General features: G+C 53.1%; 1 protein-coding gene across 14 annotated transcripts in view, besides 4 other annotated features; it reads left to right on the top strand.

Moving 5' to 3' along the window:
* ZNF423 (zinc finger protein 423) overlaps positions 1–18,546 on the top strand; it is a 371,756-nt gene that overhangs the window by 188,363 nt on the left and 164,847 nt on the right. Inside the window, exon 1 of one of the 14 annotated variants that reach the window (NM_001330533.2) lies at positions 6,593–6,826. The exons of the other annotated variants lie outside the window; for them this stretch is intronic. The gene's annotated coding sequence lies outside the window, so the exon portion shown is untranslated. Of the gene's footprint in view, positions 1–6,592; positions 6,827–18,546 lie in introns of those variants that run through there. 14 annotated transcript variants of the gene reach the window in all.
* Positions 6,789–7,322: an enhancer, noted in NCBI's record as "H3K27ac-H3K4me1 hESC enhancer chr16:49697506-49698039 (GRCh37/hg19 assembly coordinates)". NCBI's record gives its function as "activates a minimal SCP1, AML or CMV promoter by ChIP-STARR-seq in primed H9 embryonic stem cells {active_cell/tissue: H9 hESC(primed)}" and the evidence as "EXISTENCE:reporter gene assay evidence [ECO:0000049][PMID:30033119]".
* Positions 7,323–7,857: an enhancer, noted in NCBI's record as "H3K4me1 hESC enhancer chr16:49696971-49697505 (GRCh37/hg19 assembly coordinates)". NCBI's record gives its function as "activates a minimal SCP1, AML or CMV promoter by ChIP-STARR-seq in primed H9 embryonic stem cells {active_cell/tissue: H9 hESC(primed)}" and the evidence as "EXISTENCE:reporter gene assay evidence [ECO:0000049][PMID:30033119]".
* Positions 8,664–9,163: an enhancer, noted in NCBI's record as "H3K4me1 hESC enhancer chr16:49695665-49696164 (GRCh37/hg19 assembly coordinates)". NCBI's record gives its function as "activates a minimal SCP1, AML or CMV promoter by ChIP-STARR-seq in primed H9 embryonic stem cells {active_cell/tissue: H9 hESC(primed)}" and the evidence as "EXISTENCE:reporter gene assay evidence [ECO:0000049][PMID:30033119]".
* Positions 9,164–9,665: an enhancer, noted in NCBI's record as "H3K4me1 hESC enhancer chr16:49695163-49695664 (GRCh37/hg19 assembly coordinates)". NCBI's record gives its function as "activates a minimal SCP1, AML or CMV promoter by ChIP-STARR-seq in primed H9 embryonic stem cells {active_cell/tissue: H9 hESC(primed)}" and the evidence as "EXISTENCE:reporter gene assay evidence [ECO:0000049][PMID:30033119]".

Genomic DNA, 18,546 nt, shown 5'->3' with positions numbered 1-18,546 from the left:
GCAAGCACAATTCCATTCCCATCATACCAGCTTTTTAAAGAGCCCACACACTTAAAAAGGATGCTTTAAACGTCTCGCCTCAAGCCGGCGTTGTCAGCTAGCTGTAATTTATCTTTGCGATTGGGTTGTAAAACCCAGCAATTAAGAAAATCCCTGCTTCAGATTAATTGTAGCCTACGTTGGCTGAGAATGAGGCAGCGTGCTGTTTTGCTTGGGTTTCACAGCTTATGGGGCAGGGGGAGCCGGAGCATGTGGGGAAACTGAGTCCCCAACAGAGGCGTCCCCGAGATGCAGATGGCACAGGGGGCAAAAGTGGGCAGGACTAGAATGCAGCCCCAACTCCTCCTCTGCCTATTCCTTGGCACTAGGTTGGCTGCCTGCATCTAGTTGAGCCTGCCTGCTGGCAGAGTTGGGCAGGTAGGGACAGCTGCTGGTGACCCATGAAGTGGGAAAACCATGCCTTCCCATCCTTACAGGGCCACAGCCATGAGGGGGTCTGAGGCCTTGGGACCAGCCTGCTGAGCTGGGACACATGGTGCAGTCTGCTTCTTTTGCAAGGAGTCATATTTTTTTCTGGCTTCCATCTGTGGGCATCTGCACTGAACTCTCGCAGAGGCAGGTTGTCTGAGGGTTGGCGGCTGGGAGAACTCAACCAGTGGGTGATGCCTACTGTGTGCTGGGTGCCGAGCCAGGTGGCCGCATCCCAGAGACCCATGTTGTCTGCTTTCCCCTTCCAATGTCACCAAACAGAACTGCTGGGCTGCAGCAGCTCCTGCCTGCACTCTGGGGCCCTGGAGGGAGCATCCAGCCCTGGCGTGAGCCTCCCTGACTTTGTCTTCTTGGCCTTTTTTCCTCTGTTCTCGTGGTGGGGCCACTGCCCTGATGCAGGGGAACGGACAGATGGGGCTTGCCCTTGGCGTCTCCTCCCCTTCCTATCCTGGTTACCCTCAATAATCCCGTGTGTGGCAATGGCTCTCGACAGTTTACAAAGCATCTCCACAGCCATCATTCCCCTCTGACCCTCACTGCAGCCCTGTGAAGTAAGCAGAGCCAAGGAGGGGAAACTGAGGCTTGGAGTAGAGTAGAAGGGAGGCTTGTGTAGGGCCATCTGGCTCTGGAGTAGGGAAGCAGGAGCCCTGGCTAGGGCCCGATTTCCCAGCCCAGCTGGGCTCTGTGTGGGGGGTGACCTGGATGGTGAGGGGGTGCAGGGGGAGATATCACCAACTCTTTTTTCATGTGGTTCTCTTCTGAATCCTGATGGTAAGAGAGGGAAGTTTTGGGCTTTCCAAGGGGTCTCTAGGTCCAACTCCTGCCTGGTGGGCCCAGATCCCGTAAGGAAGAGGTTTGCACCCCACCTGGCCTGGCCGTGTCCTCTGGGCTGCCCTGTCGGCTGCCTGCTGGGCTTAGCTTAAGAATGGCTGAGATGAATCTGTGCTGGGCAGGGGACAGTCCTGCTGCATCTGAAAGAAGGGTGCCCCATATCCCACTCATTGGGGATGGTGGCCTGGGCCTCTAGGGTCGCCATGTGGGAGATGAGATGGATTTTTTTTTCTTTTCTTTTTTCTTTTTCTTTTTCTTTTTTTTTTTGAGACGGAGTTTCGCTCTTGTTATCCAGGCTGGAGTGCAATGGCGCGAACTCAGCTCACTGCAACCTCCGCCTCCCGAGTTCAAGTGATTCTCCCACCTCAGCCTCCCGAGTAGCTGGGATTACAGGTGTGCGCCACCACACCTGGCTAATTTTGTATTTTTAGTAGAGACAGGGTTTCTTCATGTTGGTCAGGCTGGTCTCGAACTCCTGACCTCAGGTGATCTGCCTGCCTCGGCCTCCCAAAGTGCTAGGATTACAGACATGAGCTGCCGCGCATGGTTGAGATGGATTTAAGACCATGCTGCACTCCCCACTCCCCACTCTCTGTGCTTACTAAGGGTTACCACTGGGGAAGGGGGACCAGACACTGAGCTAGAAACGTCCCTTCAGTCCTCAAGTAAGGAAGGAGACATGCACTGTCACCATCTTCATTTTATAGTTGAGGTTTGTGACTCAGAGAGGGGAGGTCACTTGTCCCAGGTCACACAGCATGTAGATGACAGAGCCAAGATTCAAACACGAGCCCATGTGCTTACCTCCCTGCCCACCCCTCCTTCCTCCTGGGGGCCTGGTGCTTACTGGGGGTGGGGCTGGGAGAGCCTGCAGGCTGTGGGTCTGCAGCGTTAGTGGGTTAGCGGGAACTGTTTCCCCAGGTCCTACTCCCTGTACTGAGGCTGCATCAGGTGGCTCTGACCCTCCTGCCACCTTCCCTGTATCTTGGCTGACCTCCAGGCATACCAGGGGTCAGCTTGGGCCCTGCCAATCAAGTGGAAAACAGGATCCCTAAACAGGACCAGGACAGCTACCACTAGCCCAGTGGGACCTTCTGGATGGAGCCTGTGTCCAGGTTCTTTTTCTGAGCACTCCCTGGGGTCTCAACAATGCTGCTCACCTAATAGATCCCAGGAGGACCTGCCTGGGCAAGAGAAGGGCAAGGAAGGTAGGAGTCCCATCCTGGGAGGACTCAAGGTTTGCAGAGTCAGCCTCTGAGTTGTGGGAGTTTGAGCCTCCCACCCCTGCCATTTCGGGGCCTCAGTTTCTAAGTCTGTAAAATGTTTTCCCATTTTACAGTAAGGCCTCTGTGTACAGGTTCTTTCCCACCTCCTACTCAGCATGGGAGGTGGGTGGGGGGTAGGGGCTTGAGGACTTGGTGAACTCCTGCAAGGAAAAGGGCCACACTCCTGAGTTTGGGTTGGGTGGTCTGAGGCTCTTGTAGTTCCCAGAGCCAGAAGCCAACTTCAGGCTCTCCTACCTGCTGGAGTCCTGCTAAAGAAAGTTTGTAGTTGGGAGAACAGGTTGCCTCGGGAAGGAAGGTGGAGCGGGGCTGGGCATTAGCATGCAGCTTGCAGCCACACAGACCTCTTTGCACACTGCCTCTGCCAGCCCAGGCTTCTCACCTCCCTGAGCCTCATGCTCCTCTTCTTTATTATCATTATTATTTTTGAGACAGGGTCTCACTCTGTTGCCCAGGCTGGAGTGCAGTGGTGCAGTCATAGCTCACTGCAGCCTCAAGTTCCTGGGCTCAAGTGATCCCCCTGCCTTAGCTTCCCAAGTAACTGGGACTACAGGTGTGCACCACCACACCTGGCTAAATTATTTTTTAATTTTTTGTAAACATAGGGTCTTGCTATGCTGCCCAAGCTGGTCTTGAACTCCTGGGCTCAAGGGATCCTCCTGCCTCAGCTTCCCAAAGTGCTGGGATTATAGGCATGGGCCACTGTGCCCAGCCCTCGGTTTCCTTTTCTGTGACATGGAGATAACAATTGCTTTTACCCCAGGGTGTTGCTGTAAATACCTATAGAGCAGGTCTTCAGAAGATAATGGTCTGACTCTGGGCCAGAAGTTTTCTGAAGGCTTCCCTCCATCCCAGTTGGTTCCTCTTTTTACCCTGTTTAATTTCTTTTATCCAGTTTTAAAATTCTCCCCTTCCTCACTCGGGGGATGAGGGTTGAATAAGAAATTGAAAGTCACCAAATGGCTAGCTCTTGTCTGGCTGTGCCCCGACCCACTGTCTGATGGTCTCTTCTCGGGCCTCCATGCCCACACCTTTCATTTGCCAGAGTGGCAAACACTGACCCAGTTTGTTCTGGACTAGGCATTTTACTGGCATCTCTAATGAAATCAGCACAACTGCCCCTTGGGATAGGGACTACTGTTGTTTCTTATTTTTTGGATGAGGAAGGGGAGGCTCAGAGTTAGTAAGTGGTGGAGTTGGATTTCAACAAGATCTGGCTGACTCCAGGCTTATTTCCCTGTGGGCTGAGCACCCAAGGAGGCTCTGGGCCTAAAGGCAGAGCTGCAGACTGGCCAGTTTACAGGCCATGGGAAGGGAATTTGAGGTCGGTGTTGGTGATGGAGTCGGTGATGGGGCTGGCCTCCTTCCTCCCCACTGGGCCATGGGCTTGTGCTTACCCCTGGCATCATGCTTTCCCACCCTGCCCTTTTTTCTGGGGTCCCAGCCCCACTCCCCTGGCCTTTTGTTTCCCCTCCTCCATTGCCCTAATGATTTAGCCCAGGTGGCAAGTTGCGTAGAGAAACTACTCCAGGGAAATAAGAGTCCTTACTACCAGCCTGGGCCTCAGGTGTGCACCCAGCGGCCCTCCCTGGGGGTCTGGTGAGCTGGGCCTCCCCCATCTCCAGCTGTTAGGCAGGAGCTTGAGGAGCTGTGTGTATTGTGTGCACATGTACTTGTGTGTGGTGTATATAACTCTGGGAATGTAACTGTGCATGCATGCATGTAATTGAGTATAACCATGCATATGTAATGTGTTATATGTGACTGTGTATATAGAACTGTGTGTCTGTGTAACTTTATGTGTGTGGAATAGGCAACCGTGCATGTATGTAACTGTTCACTTATAACTACGTGTATGTAGCTGGTTTAATACGTGATCATGTGTATAGAACTGTGTGTTTGTAACTCTGTGTTTGTGAATGTAACTGGCGTGTGTAGGTGGCTGTATGTCGTAGGTGTGTTTACGCCTCTGTCGAAGGCAGGTGGGGAATGGAGAAGTATTAAAGGCGTGAGGATTGGGAGCAGGGCCCCAGTAACGTATGGTAGGGGCTACAGTTACCTCCTCTGCGGGTTAAAACACTCTTTGTAGAACAGAGTTACACACATGTTTAGATAATTAGAACAAAAGCCAAAAGAACAATTCCTTTCAAAGGGACGAAGCTGGGAGGCGGGGGCCAGCCAGGATCTGGGGGGCCGCATTCCGTCTCCCCAGCTCTCCCCGGCCTTCGCTGCGTTTTGATCGCACTATTTAGAAAATCCCTTTGTTGTAGGATAAACTGACATTGGCCTGCGCAGTTCTGCTGTGAAGTTTGCTGTGTTCCGGGGCCCACTCGGGACAGCCAGGCCATTAGGAGCTGATTAAATGAGCTAATTTTAATTTGTTCAGTGGTTACAGATGCAGAGACCTTTCCATGCCCTTTTCTTGAGGCTCTATTTATTTATTAATTTTCTTTTTTTCTGAAAAGAAAAAGACCTTCAGGTCTCCCTTCTGTCTTCCCATCCCCCCTTAAAAATAAACATATGAAAACATTTTTAACTAGAACTTCAGCTGGGAAAGAGACGGCTGGATGATGGCTTTGTGGGATTGGCCTCCAGAGGTGCTGATGGGGGGCTCCCCGAGTCTGTGAGCTGGGGTGGGGGGCGGTGCTACCAGGGCTGGGCCACCCACTGTGGCTGAGAGTGAGGAGCGGAGGAGGCTCCGTGAAACCTGTCAGAGACCTCAGTCTCACTTCCAGGCCTTTGCTCTTGCTGGTCCTGCCGCTTGGAGCTCATTTCTGCCCCTTGCTTCCTTCACTTGGTGAATTCTTCATCCTGCTGGTCTCCACGGAGAGCCTGCTTTTTCCAGGAGGGCTCTGGCACCCTTACTGCGCCCCTGTTCTCCCCCCAGGCCCCACACACTTCTCCTAGCAAACACAGGGGATCAAATGTTGTCCCTCCACCTAGGCTGCGAGCTCCACAGGCCAAGAGCTGCCAGTGTGGCTCACCCTCCTACCCTCACCACCTAAGTGCCTGCTGGGTTGTAGGCACATCAGAGACATCCTGTGAATAACTAAATGGGTGAATTAATGAATGAAAGGATGTGTGGGTGACATCTATATTTACTGAATGCCGCTACCCACCAAGCTCTTGATGGCAGAACCCTGGTGTCCCACCAATTTGGAAGTGCCACCCCTTGGGCCTCAATGCACCGTTGAGAGTTGAATTTCCAAATATGGCGGGTGTGGGGACTTCAGGCCTGCCTAGCCAGGCCAGTCCCCAGCCCCAGGCCCAGCTCAGCTGATAACCTGACCAAGGCTGAGCGGAGGGAAGCCAAGGGAAGAAAATTGCGCAGTTAGTTGGCTTTTTACAGCACTTACAGGCAAGCAGGCCTTGGGAGTACAATGTGCCCACAATGAGGGGCGTTCAGAGCACAAAAGAGCAGGGATCGTGGGGCTGTAGCCAGGGGCCACCCCCGATCTCGCTCAAGCTGCCTGGCCCCTCCTAGCTCGTTCATTTTAACATCACCTTTCGCTCTGGTTGGGGCACCTTTCGGTGAGCAGCGGGGTTTTCCCTGGAGCTGTGCCCTGGCTGTGGCCCGGCCAGTTTCCAAGGCCTGGTTTTCATTTGCTGAGAGCTGCTTCCCGCAGACAGCTCCCCACCCACCCCACCCAGGGGCCTCCCAGGGGCCGTCCCCCCACCCTGTCCTGGCAGACAGGGGCAGTGTCCGAGAGAGACCCCTTGCTCCCTTTCTGTGGTCCTCCCTTTAACCCCAGCCTCAGCACCAGGCCCTGGCATGGCGCCGGCCCCAGGCCCTCCTCCATCTCTGTAGAATCTCAGAGCTGGCAGGGGAGCCAGAACTCCTCGGTCGCCCCCGGGGCCTGGATCCCTCAACTGGGTCAACATCTGGCCGCGTGGCCTGAGCCCTGGGCCTCCTCTGTCCTCTCCCTCCCCATCTGTGCCTTTTCCCAGCCCCTTTTCTTCCCCAAGGCCCTTCCTCTCCCGCTAGCTGGGTCCTCCGCCAAGCGCCGCCGCGGGAGCAGCACACCCTCGGCCCATCCTTCTCCGCCGGCCCAGGCGGCCGGGTGGGGATGCGTCCCGTGGCTGAGATCACCAGTGGGCCGGTGGGAAGCGCCTCTCCAGCCCTCGCCTGCCCTGCCGCCGGGTGCTGGGAACCCGGGCTCAGGTTCTGGCCCTCTTGGCATCGGCCAGTTTGCCCTGGGACGCCCTGGTGAGCAGGGGGAAAGGTAAGCGGAGGCATGGGACAGTGATGAGGGGGTGGCTGGGTTGGAAGGGGGAAGAATGAATAAAACAGGCTGGTGTCTGCACCGGAACGCCGAGTCCCCTTAGAGGCTCCCGGCGCGTTGGGGAGTGGAATGTTTGCTCAGAGTGGAATGAAATCCAGAAGGAAGGAAACGTTTTTTTCTGGAATGAGAGAGGAAAAGTGGGCGGCCAGCTGCCAAGCAGGTGGTGGTGGCCAGGGTGTCAGACCTGGGTGGGGCCCTGCGGCATGGGGATGGGGAGGGCCCTGGGGTGCACCCTGACTCCTAGGTCTGGAGTCCCTCCCTTGCCTCTCTCCTGTCCTTCCCTCTGTGCCCCACCCATTGACCTCCTGTCCCCTCTGTCTCCCGTGGGGAGGGCTGGCTTGCATCTGTGATGGTTTTTGCACTCAAGTGCTTGCCTGCCTCTGGCTCCTGCCCTCTCCCGTGCCCTCCTGAAGCCTCATGTCTGTCCCACTTCCTGCACCACTGGCCGGGAGGGAGGCCACCAGAGTGCAGCTGCCGGGCCTGACTTTGCCACCTAAAAAGCCATCCCATCCCGGGCACTGGTCCCCTCTCCAGTCACAGGGGCGGCATGCCAAGGGGACATTGAGACTAGCCTCTGAAGTACTGAATGCCAGACTATGATTCCTGATGGATTCTGTAGGGCCTCGAGGGGGGTGGGCTGGGGGGCCTCAGTGGTAATCGGGTGTTTCTCGTGGCCAGCCACTTGTTCTCCTCAGGAAGAGGCTGGTGAGTTTCTTTCTGTTTATGTGGTAACCAGGCTACCGAGATGGCAAACTTAGGTTCTGCAATTACACAGCGTTTCAGAAGCAAATTGATAGGATAACGTGTTATTATTGGCTACTGGGTTAATAGCTATTTTGGCAGGAGTACCAATCCTGCGTGGTGTTGCTGGCGCGGGGTGTGAGAATGGCGCGATGGGGTGGAGAGGAATGGTGGGTGCGCTTTGCATAGAGCTGCAGACTCGGGAGGACTCTGGGGGCCTCCTCTGCCAGCGCCTGCTTGGATAATGCTCAGTTCTGATTAGCTGTTGCCGAAACCAAGACCAGAGAGGTTGAGAGACCAGAGTCAGATCATACAGTGAGTTGATGCTGGGGTTGGATTTTGGGTCCCTGTGGGGTTTTGGATGACAGCTTGGCCTGTGATCTTAGAAGGCAGGGCACATGCCTTCACACTGAGCCCCACGTGGGCATCTCAGAAAATGTGCCCTGAAAAGTTTGCATGCTCTGGCTTTGGGGTGCTTGCACCTGCTAGATCCCTGCCTGGGATCCTCTCTCTCTAGATTCTGCCTTGGCCTGCTGCCTTGTTTGCTTCTGGTGTCTGCTCAAGTGTCGCCTTGTCACCTGTCCAGAGTGGCACCCCACCCTTCACCCTTTTCCTGCCCTGCACTTCTTCATAGCAACACGTGATTTACTACGGACTGATTTATTCCTTCTTCAGCAGGAAGATTTAGTCTCCTCTCTTTGCATTGTAAGCTCACTGAGGGCAAGGACTTTGTTTCTTCATACCCTATCCCCAGAGCCTCGAACAGGGCTGGCAGAGTAGGCACTTATTCGTATTTATAGAAGGAATAAATGAATGTAAATTGCAATGTCATTTTAAAAAATGGCTGCCATATCGCAGGTGACTCGCTGTTTGTCCTTCCTCTTGGAGGATGGTTGGAGTCAGAGGGTCCTGTTATTCCTGTCCCTGAGAGGAGGTCAGCAGGCCCTCCTTTGGGGCTCATCAGGAGATCATTTCTTCCTGCAGACTAAGGGAGTTCAGAAGGGAGTGGATTCCCCTTCATTGGAAGGGACCAAACCTCTTTGTAGAAGGGATTTAAGGACTTTTTGGGGTGGACCAGAGCCCTTCAGGGGGACTGGCTTTCTTTATGACATGACATTGGCAGGAATGACATAAGGAGGTGGTAAATTGGGGATGCCCGCGAGAAGGGTAACCTGGGAGTGGGGGTGGAGTTCCCCAAGGGCGGGGGTCTCACAGTGAACCACGGCTCTGCCCAGCGGTCTCTGTGTTTGCTGCCACTGGACTGGAAACCACACACAATGATCTGTTCATTGAGCATGTGCCATGTACCAGGCGCTGGGCCAGTGTGCTTAACCTGCGGTATCTGATCTCATCCTGTGCACAACCCGAGGAGGCAGAAGGGATTCTGCCTGTTTTCCCTCTTGGTGAAGATTAGAGAGGTCCATTAACGTATCCTGGTTTACACCACTGGTCAGTGGTAGAGCTGAGATTTGAACGGAGGCTCTCTGGCTCCAGAGCCTTCCTGGACATGATCCTGATGCCCCCGGAATGCAGCCTCCATGGTGCAGGGCTTTGCTGGGTGTGCTCACTGCCCCAGGAATTGCAGCAGAGCCTGGCACAGAAGAGGCACTCCATAAATATTTCAACAGTGCAGTCGCTGGCTGATTGAGTGAGTGGATGCGAGGTGTTTCCCAAGATGAGCGGGAAGTGCTCACTTTTTACTGTTGGTCCATTGGACAGAGACAGGGAAGCCCAGGCTGGGAAGGAGGTGACACCGACTTGTGCTTGGCTGGCCCGAATTCCTCCTGAAAAAATTACAAGGGCACTGCTTGGCTGTGTGTTCCTTGTGGAGGGGTGCATTTGTTCACAGGTCCTGGTTAGGAAGTAAGGAGGTTTCTGGTGAGTTTTGGGGGTCCCCCCTGGTGGGGAAGACACACATGCCTGCAAGCATATACATGCATATTCACATACCCTTATTCTCCAGTGTGGTGTGTGAAGAAAGGCATCCACTTGAGGGGTGTTTTCCCGGAAAAATATGGAGACTCCCACCCCAAATCCCACTGTTGAGTCTGTGTCTTTTTTTTTTTTTTTTTGAGATGAAGTCTCACTGTGTCGCCTGGGCTGGAGTGCAATGGTGCGATCTCGGCTTACTGCAACCTCTGCGTCCCAGGTTCAAGTAATTCTGCTTCAGCCTCCTGAGTAGCTGGGATTACAGGCGCCCACCATCACACCTAGCTAATTTTTGTATTTTTAGTAGAGACAAGGTTTCACCATGTTGGCCAGGCTGGTCTTGAACGCCTAACCTCAGGTGATCCACCCTCCTTGGCCTCCCAAAGTGCTGGGATTATAGGTGTGAGTCACCATGCCCAGCCCCAGTCTGTATCTTTAAGAGCATGGAATCTGAGCTTATTATCTTATTAAATCTATCCATTTGTTTGGCTCTGGTCTGAATAAGTAAGCTCCCCCCCCATCCCCCCACACCCTGCCCCAGCTCTGTGTCTCCTTTGTTTTAATGTCATTTCTCTGGGATTCAGGCTGAGGCTGTGTAGCTGAGCTGTTCCTTCTGCCTCCGTCCGTGCTTCCTGACCCCCACACCCTTGCTGCTTCCCTGGCTCCAAGAGGCTCTTTCAAATAAAATCATAACAAATTCAGACCCCACTGAAGACTGGAGTAATTGCATTCTGCCATAATGAGAGGGGGCCCGAGGGACCTTGGTGATGCTGGACAGGCTCTGCTGGGGGCAGCCCCACTGGACCCAGGTGGTCAGGAGGGTGGTCAGGTCAGGCTTATATACTCCCTGGCTTCCAGCTGGAGGCTCTGTCCCCAACTCCTAGGCCCCACCTTACAGGGGCCTCTTGAGTGGCTCCTTGCTGCTTCTTTGTGATTAGACTATTCATTCATTCATTCATTCATTCATTCATTCGTTTTCTCATTTTCTCATTCTGAATTCATTCATACCATAGTTTTCAAGTGCCTCCTTTAGACGAAGCCCTGGACTTCAGTATTTCATCCATCCATCCATCCATTTATTCATTTATTCATGCCACAGTTACCAAGAGCTTCCCGTAGGCCAGGTACCCTTTCATCCATTCATTCATTCAGTCATTGAGCAGATAGTTATTGCCAGGCACCTTGTGGGGGCTCCCAGGGATCCAGGGATCCAGGAATCCAGGGCTTATCAGAATTGTCTCCAGGCAGTTCGAAGCCAGGAGTACCTGTGAGGAAACCTTAATCACATTCTTGGAAGAAGATAAAAAAGCATAAGGGAAGTGGTTGAGAGGTATATTGCGGGTGGAGGAGGAGGAAGGAAGGTGCAGCTCCCTTCTGGCCCTGCACCCCACCCTGACGAGTGGCCTGACTAAAGTGTGCATCCATTGACTCATTTGGCAAATATTGAGGGCCTACTGTGTGCTGGGTGCTGGGAGGAGCTGGGGACCATTTGGGGACCGTGGAGCTGCCTGTGGCAGACTGTAGGCCCAGCACCACCCACAGGGGTGCCGTCAGCCTGAGCTGGGCTGGGGGTGGCATCTCCCCTTCCCAGACCCCTCTATGAGGAGGGTACCAGTGCCTGCAGCGGTGGGCACCTGAAGCCCCTCGTGTGCCATGTGCAGGATCTGGGGTGACTGATCGCTCTCCATCAGTTTCTCTCTCCCCTGCATTACACTGTCCACCCGGCCTCCTCTTGAGAGTATGTGTGTCAGGGGTGTGTTTCCCATAAACCCCACATCTCAACATTTCATATGGCTGATGAGTCAGGTGGCCAGATTCTCCTGGCTCTGCCGGACTCTGCCCTGGGGCAAGTCCCTCCCTCAGACCTCAAGGGCCTCAGTATCCCGATGTGTACAATGCACAATACATCGTAAAATGGGGGGTCTAGTGAAAGGATTATGTGTGGCTTAAATGCATTAAATAGTAAAACGGCCGAGCACAGTGGCTCACGCCTGCAATTCTGACACTTTGGCAGGCTGAGGCAGGAGGATTGGTTTAGCCCAGGAGTTTGAGATCAGCCTGGCAACATACATAGCGAGTCCTCATTTCTACAAAAAAATATAAAAAATTAGCCAGGAGTGGTGGCACACCTGTAGTCCCAGCTACTTGGGAGGCTGAGGTGGGAGGATCACATGAGCCTAGGAGGTTGAGGCCACAGTGAGCTATGATTGCGCCACTGCACTGCAGCCTGGGCGACAGAGTGGGACTCTATTTCAAATTTAAAAACCCAAACCACCCCCCGCTAAAACAAGTAAAACATCAAAGACTAATATGAGTGAGTAAATAAATAATATAGATTTTAAGAAAGCCCGGCACGTAGGAAGTGTCTGGTGAGTGTGGCTGATATTCAGGTCTGTTTGTGAGCAGGAGCACATAATGAGGCACACAGATGAGGGCCTGGTTCCAGTGGGAGGAGGTGGTGGCCACTCGGGCTGAGAAAGCAGGGACAGGCAGGGTGCTGGGGCGGGGGTTCCAAGGAAAGAGTCAGCGATGCTGGGAAAGGGTGGGGGACCCACATGCCCCAGCCTTGATGCCTAGGACTTCAGGGGCCCTGCCCCACACTCCGGAATCCAGTCAGGGGAATGCCCTGCCACAGCTGCCTTCAGGGACCTGACGTGCTGGCCAAACAAACTGGAACTCCTCCTCCTCGTGGTGGTCCAGGGCCAGGTGGCTGCCTCTCTGCTGCTGCTGCCATATCCCAGAGCCTTCCCCAGGCCTGATGAGTCGTTTTCATCTCCTGCCCATCACGGGCAGGGCTGGGGCAGCCTTCAGCCATGAGGCTCAACAGCCCAGCTACAAAGTCCACGACGACAATTACTCTAGGGGTGGAAACATGAAAATCGGGAAAATTGGAATTTCCTCTGTCGTGTTGTAGATTTGGATGAGTTTAGGGGTGAGTGGGGCCCTCAGAGGGGCCGCCTGGCTAGCCCAGCACATCCTTGAAAATGCTCTGGCTCTTCTCTTCCTGGCCCTCCTCAGGCCCCGGGCTCCTTGCAGCGCCCAGCCCACCTCTTCTCTCCTGCCTGCCTCTGGCCAGGCACGGTGCTGGGGACACAGCAGCTATGAAGGTGCGCCCTCGTCCCTGCACTGCCCTGTCTGGAGGGGGAGAGGGACAGACCAAGAGCTGCAGTCACTGCAGTATGGGCCAGGGCAGCAGGACTTGCGCCACATCTAGGGCTGCCCAGCCCAGTTTCTGGTGGTTCATGCATGTTTAACCCAATTACATCTTTATTTTAATGGGCATTACAAAAACATCATACTCATGATTTCATCAATATCATGATTTAGGATTACACTTGGGTACCTGACATTGTTAGTCCTGAGGTCGTTGAAAGGACAAGGTTGAGTAATAGTATAGGACACAGACCCTGACGGTGGCCTCTCAGTGACTTGAGCATGGCAAATCCTGGCAGGTGCAGATTAGGGGCTGTGGAGGAGGCTATGCAGGCTGAAAGACATGGCTTCCAAGTCTGACACCACCATCTGTGGCAGTTGTACCTTAGTCAGTGTTGCAGGGAGGACCCCTGAACACAGAGCCTGAAGCAAGGACTTAGTGCACATATGTGGCGAGGAGGCACTCCCAGGAAGTAGGACGGAGGAGACAGGGCCAGGGAAAGGCCGATTTTGGGGTGCAGTGTTGAGCCTGCTGCTGTAGACCACTGGGCTTGAAACTGCCAAAACCTTCGTGTCTGCAGGGTGCCCCAGGAATGGTCTTCAGAGGAGCCCACTGGCTCCAGGCCCTTTTAGGTGAAGGTTGCCCCTGGGGGCATCACCTCCCCTCCCTTTGGGGTCAGACTTGAGACAGGCAGACACCTGGAGGTGGGGCCTCAGGCTCTTTTACTCAGACTGTCCCTGCAGCTGCTGAATTCCCAGGGGGCCACTGGCCATGATGCACACATCAGGTCCCTGAGTTCCTCTGTCCCTCAGCGTTCCCTTCCATAAAATTGGACCAAGCTCATGACTGTCTCCTGGAGCTGCTGGAGGGCACCTGGCACATGGCTGGAGACAGGGAGTGTTTTTGGGGAGTTTCTCCATCCTCCAGATACTTGGGGTGGGACCCTGGGGCTAGGTCCTGGATGGGATTTGACTGAGAAGCAGGGGATCTGTGATTTGAGGTCACACAGTGTGTGCCGCTTGTCTGTGGAAGTCTCCAGCCAAAGGAGCGTGTCACCCTGAGAGGTGTCCAGGCTGAGAATACGGACCCAATCCAGACATCCTGTCAGGCTGGGCTCCACGGGAGGCCACCTCCTTGGCAGAATGCTTGTGCCCCTGAACGGGTGTCACTCCCTCTCTTTCCCTGGGACATGGTGGTTCATAAACTCATATCCCGCGGTGGTTAGGAACACAGCCTCTGAGGTCAGGGAATCCATGTTCAAAGCCCTGCTAGGCCATCTCCACCTGTAAGGCCCTGAGCCTGTCAATTAACCTTTATAAGCCTCAGTTTTCTCATCTATAAAATGGGGCTGGTAATAGGAACACATCAGATTGCTGTGAATATTAAAATGAGACAACTCATTTTTTTTCTTGGAGACAAAAAATAAAATGAGACAACACGTGACATGGATCAAACACCCAAGAAATATGTGGCACTTAATAAACATCATTGATTAGACCTATACGTACATATGCAATGTATGATATAGAATACAAAGTATAATCTATTAATTATTCTTCAGTGTCGCCAGTTGGTCTAAGCTCAGAGTTCTAGCTTGGAGGCATTATGGGGTTTTCTCTGATACTGGCTTTTGGGAAAATTATAAGATGAACTTGGTCATCCATTTACCCACTTGCCTTTTTTTTTCTTTTTTTTTTAAGACAGAGTCTTGCTCTGTCATCCAGGCTGGATGCAGTGGTACAGTCTTGGCTCACTGCAACCTCTGCCCCCTGGGTTCAAGCAATCCTCTTGCCTTAGCCTCCCGAGTAATTGGGGTTACAGGCGTGCACCACCACACCTGGCTAATTTTTATAATTTTAGTAGAGACGGGGTTTCACCATGTTGGCCAGGCTGGTCTTGAACTCCTGACCTCAGGTGATCCACCCGCCTCAGCCTCCCAAAGTGTGTGGGATTACAGGCACGAGCCACTGCACCTGGCCTCCGCTTGCCCATTCTTTATTCGCATTGAGAGCTTCCTCTGTCTGCATCTCTGGTAAGAAAGTCACATAAACCAGCTGCATTCAGTCCTCCGTCTCACCTACACTGCCCCAACGTGGGGCACCACTGTCAGAAGGATTTGCAGTGTAGATGGGATGGAGGACTGGAAGTCAGAAGACCTTTGACTCGGGTCCCTAGGTAGCCAGGGTGGGGGTGGGAGGAGAGAGGGAGGTGGGACAGACACTTGGAGAGTTGGAGACTTGCCCTGGACCCGATGAACAAAACCCCACTGGAGTTACCTCGTGCACCCACTTAGCATTCAGTGCTTCAATTGTATGTGCTCTGCAAGGGAATGACTGCGTGGGTTTGTGGAAGAAAAATAATTCAGTGGTGTGGGTTCAGGGGCGAAGTGACCGTGAGATGGATGCTGTTCTGGGCTTTCGGCTTCCACACTCCCCTCCTGTGGGAGCAGACACCTGTTCAGCATGTTGAGGTCCATGGTGTGTATTTGGGAACACCTTGGCTCTTTCACACAGAGGACATGGCAATTTATTCCAAAAGTGGAGGAAAAGCTGGCTGGGTTGGACTCACTGAAAGGTGGTGCGCCCATCCCCCTCAGTGCCCCAGCAGGGATCCTTGTGAGGGGAGTTGATACTTCTGCTGTCCACAGTGACTTGAGTGTTCAGCCCCCACGTGGAAGGGGACCCCATGCTGATTGTGCAGGGGTTTTCTCCTGCAGGGGCACCTGATCTTGGCTGTTGAGAGCCCTGGGTCGTTGGGGTCACTGATCACTGTTTTCCTTGAAATGGGTTCTGCTTATAGGCTAGTGATTGTTTAACTCTCAGTCATTCGCAGACCTGGAGTTATGGGAGGTCTAGAAAGAGCCCTGGGCTGGGGAGTCCAGATCCCACTTACTCATGAGCTAGTGTTTCAGATAGTGTTGGTGGTTGCCAGGGCCTGTGGAATGGAGTTCTTGGCTCCTTGGCTTGGTATTTAAGGTCTTGACGATGGGCTCTCATTGCACCTTCTAAGCTGCTTCTCCCACTGATACCCAAGCTTCAGCCATGGCTCCCGCCATTGCTTCTCCCAGGAGGCCTTCTCCTCCCATCTCTCTGTATCTGGAGGTCCCAGGCTTTAGTCATTTGCATATCTCTACTGTGATTCTTGCAACATTTGAGTATCACTGATGCTATGATTCACCTAGTATTTGTCTTTGCTGGCTCTTTTGTGGTTAAATTAATTAATTTACTTAATTCTGCAAATGGAAAACCAGTATCATTTACTGTAAGATGACAGTAACCTTAAAAGTAAATAAAAAACAAAACCGAAGAAAATTCCATGCTCACACTATTCCAGACATGAGCTGCTGTGTTCTGGAAATGCTAAGCGTGGACTCTGCCCTCTCTTTTGCTGAAATGCTGGAGAGGAGTTAGAGACAGCCTTTCTCCCTGGCCTAATCTGAAGGCTGACAACAGAATGGAAAGGGCGCTAACTTTCTCATTTGTGCATCAGGGTTATTTAAGACCATCTTGGCTGCGCCCTAAAATGATCACGGGTCCTACCAATGGGAGGTAGCCCATGTTTGGAAGAACACAGATCAGTGGAGCTCCTACTCCTTCTTCAAAGCCCAATTTGAGTGCTCCTGCCTCCCATGATGGCACCTCATCTGTGCATTTCCATTCCCAGCCCTCCCGGGCTTGGAGCTTCTGGCACCCAGTGGCCTTGGCTAAGGGAAAGCTCCCTACAACCCTGCAGGGACAGCATGAGCTCCTTGTCCATGCCCCTGCCTGGGGCCTGTGCTCTACGCCCCCCAGGACGTATTGGACTGCCATCTTCTGTAGGCCCAGATGAACACCAGGAAAGGAGGAAATGAGGACCTACTCTTAGCCATGCAGGAGACCACCCTTCCCACCACCACCTGTGAGATGCTTGGGGAGGTGGGCAGAGCTGGCCCCCAAGTCATGGGTTGGGCTTTCGGGGGCAGTGACCACCATGGCCTGAATGAAGGCTCAGGAGCTGGAGCAGGTGAGGCATGCTCGGTATACATCTTTGATGACAGTGGGTGGTCTTGATGGCTTTCTGGAGATCTATGGAGTCATTCCAAGCTCCTTCTACTTAATTGCTGTGGAAGTCAGGGCCCTCGCCCTCTCTATGTCTCAGATGTCTGATCTGTAAGATGGGGGTTAATGGTGGTAGTGGTCACCACATAGGATGCAGGTGAGAGTTTAACAAAATGGAGCTTACGAAGAGCTTGGCACTGTGTCTGGCCACAGAAAGGGCTCTGCAGAGGCTACCAGTCTGAAGTTCAAAAAGTGGTTCACTATGACAATGCCCCAGACCTAGAAAGATGCAGGAGACACAGGGACACCCCAACCACTCAAATATAAACAGGTAGTGCCCTGAAGTCAGGGAGGATGACAGAGGCAGTCAGGGAAGGCTTCCGGGAGGCAGTGTCTTGAAGGATGGGCATGTGTTAGCCAGGATAGAGTAGGTTTGGCATGCCACAGTGGCAGTACAAGCCTCCAAAAGTGTTGTCCATCTCCCTCCCTGCAAAGGAGAGAGAGCATCTGCTTCCCTCTAAGCCATCAGATGGGGATGCAGCTCTGCACCCCACCCACCCCTTTCCCTGGAGGTGGCAAAGGGGATGACTGAACACTTCTCAGAGGCTCCTGAGCATGTCCAGACCTTAGCTGTAACTTCTGCAGCTAAAATGTGTGGATGGGAAAAATGCTATCCAAACATGCCTAATCCCAATCAGAGGATTATTTTCTTACAGAAAAGCTTCACCTATACTTAATAGTTTTAAATTGTTCCGGGTACCAATTAGACTTTTAATTTTGCTGTTCCCTCCGGCGGCTGGAGGATGTGTGTGGTTTGCGTTTAATCAGAGTTGAATTCTTTTTTTTTTTTTTTTTTTTGGTGGTTCTTGGGGAGGGAAGGAGATGAGGCGCCTGTTCAGGGTTTCCTTCAGGTCCTCCCAAGACTTGTGTAGTGGGTAGAGGTGCTGGGCAGCTCTGAGTTAGGGGTTCTCTGTCTGGGCAGCAGGGGACGCCTCCAGAGTGGGGACCCCAAGTCCCCTCCCACCCGCCTGAGGTTTTGCCGCTGCAGCCCTGCCTGGAGAATCCAATGCCGCGTTAAATATGTGGATTATCCAAAAATTTCTGCAGCAATAGGGTGAGTTATTATTGATTCACAGAGCACGACAAAACATCACTGCATGAATTAGCAAACAGCTGTTTCTAATTTGAGTTTAGAACGGTACACAGAGGAACTTGTTTCTCTGTTCACTCCTTTCATTTATAATGAATTTTAATCACTGCTACAGGTGAGAAAAATGTAGAAACAAGCTTGTATCTTGTGGAAGAAACAAAGGAGAGGCAGATGCTAACAGATTTCCAGTCTGTGATAAAAGGGATGTTTTGGTACACTTTACATGTAATTAGAGCGCAGCTGTTTCCAGTCCCAGGTCCACGAACACGGCCGAATGTGGGCTCTGCCGATCTCCAAAGGGAGTCAAGAAAAACAGTGATTCAACCCCGAAAGCATTTTGCTTTCACTCGAGTGGAGCAGAGCGCCCTTTGCTCAGGCCCTTGGCGGTGTTGCTTCATGAAGCTCACGGAGATGACTTCACAAGGCGCCAACTCCTTGTGAAGAGGCGGGCAGGCGATGTCAGGGTGCGCAGGAGGTCCACGCCAGGAGGCTGGCAGGAGAACCTTCCGGAGCTCCTGAGCTCCTCGTGCCCCTGGGGAGTCCCTTGTAGGGGCAGACTTGGGGGGCTCTTCCTTGCTGGCAGGAGTTGATCACTAGGCTCCTCTTTAGCAAGTTTGATCACAGCCAGCTCTCGGGTGAGCTGATGAGC

The sequence above is a fragment of the Homo sapiens genome, chromosome 16 (genome assembly GCF_000001405.40).
Source record: "Homo sapiens chromosome 16, GRCh38.p14 Primary Assembly".
Lineage (NCBI taxonomy): Eukaryota > Metazoa > Chordata > Mammalia > Primates > Hominidae > Homo > Homo sapiens.
The sequence above is the reverse complement of the archived record's forward strand: the minus strand, read 5'-3'. Positions and strand labels throughout refer to the sequence as shown.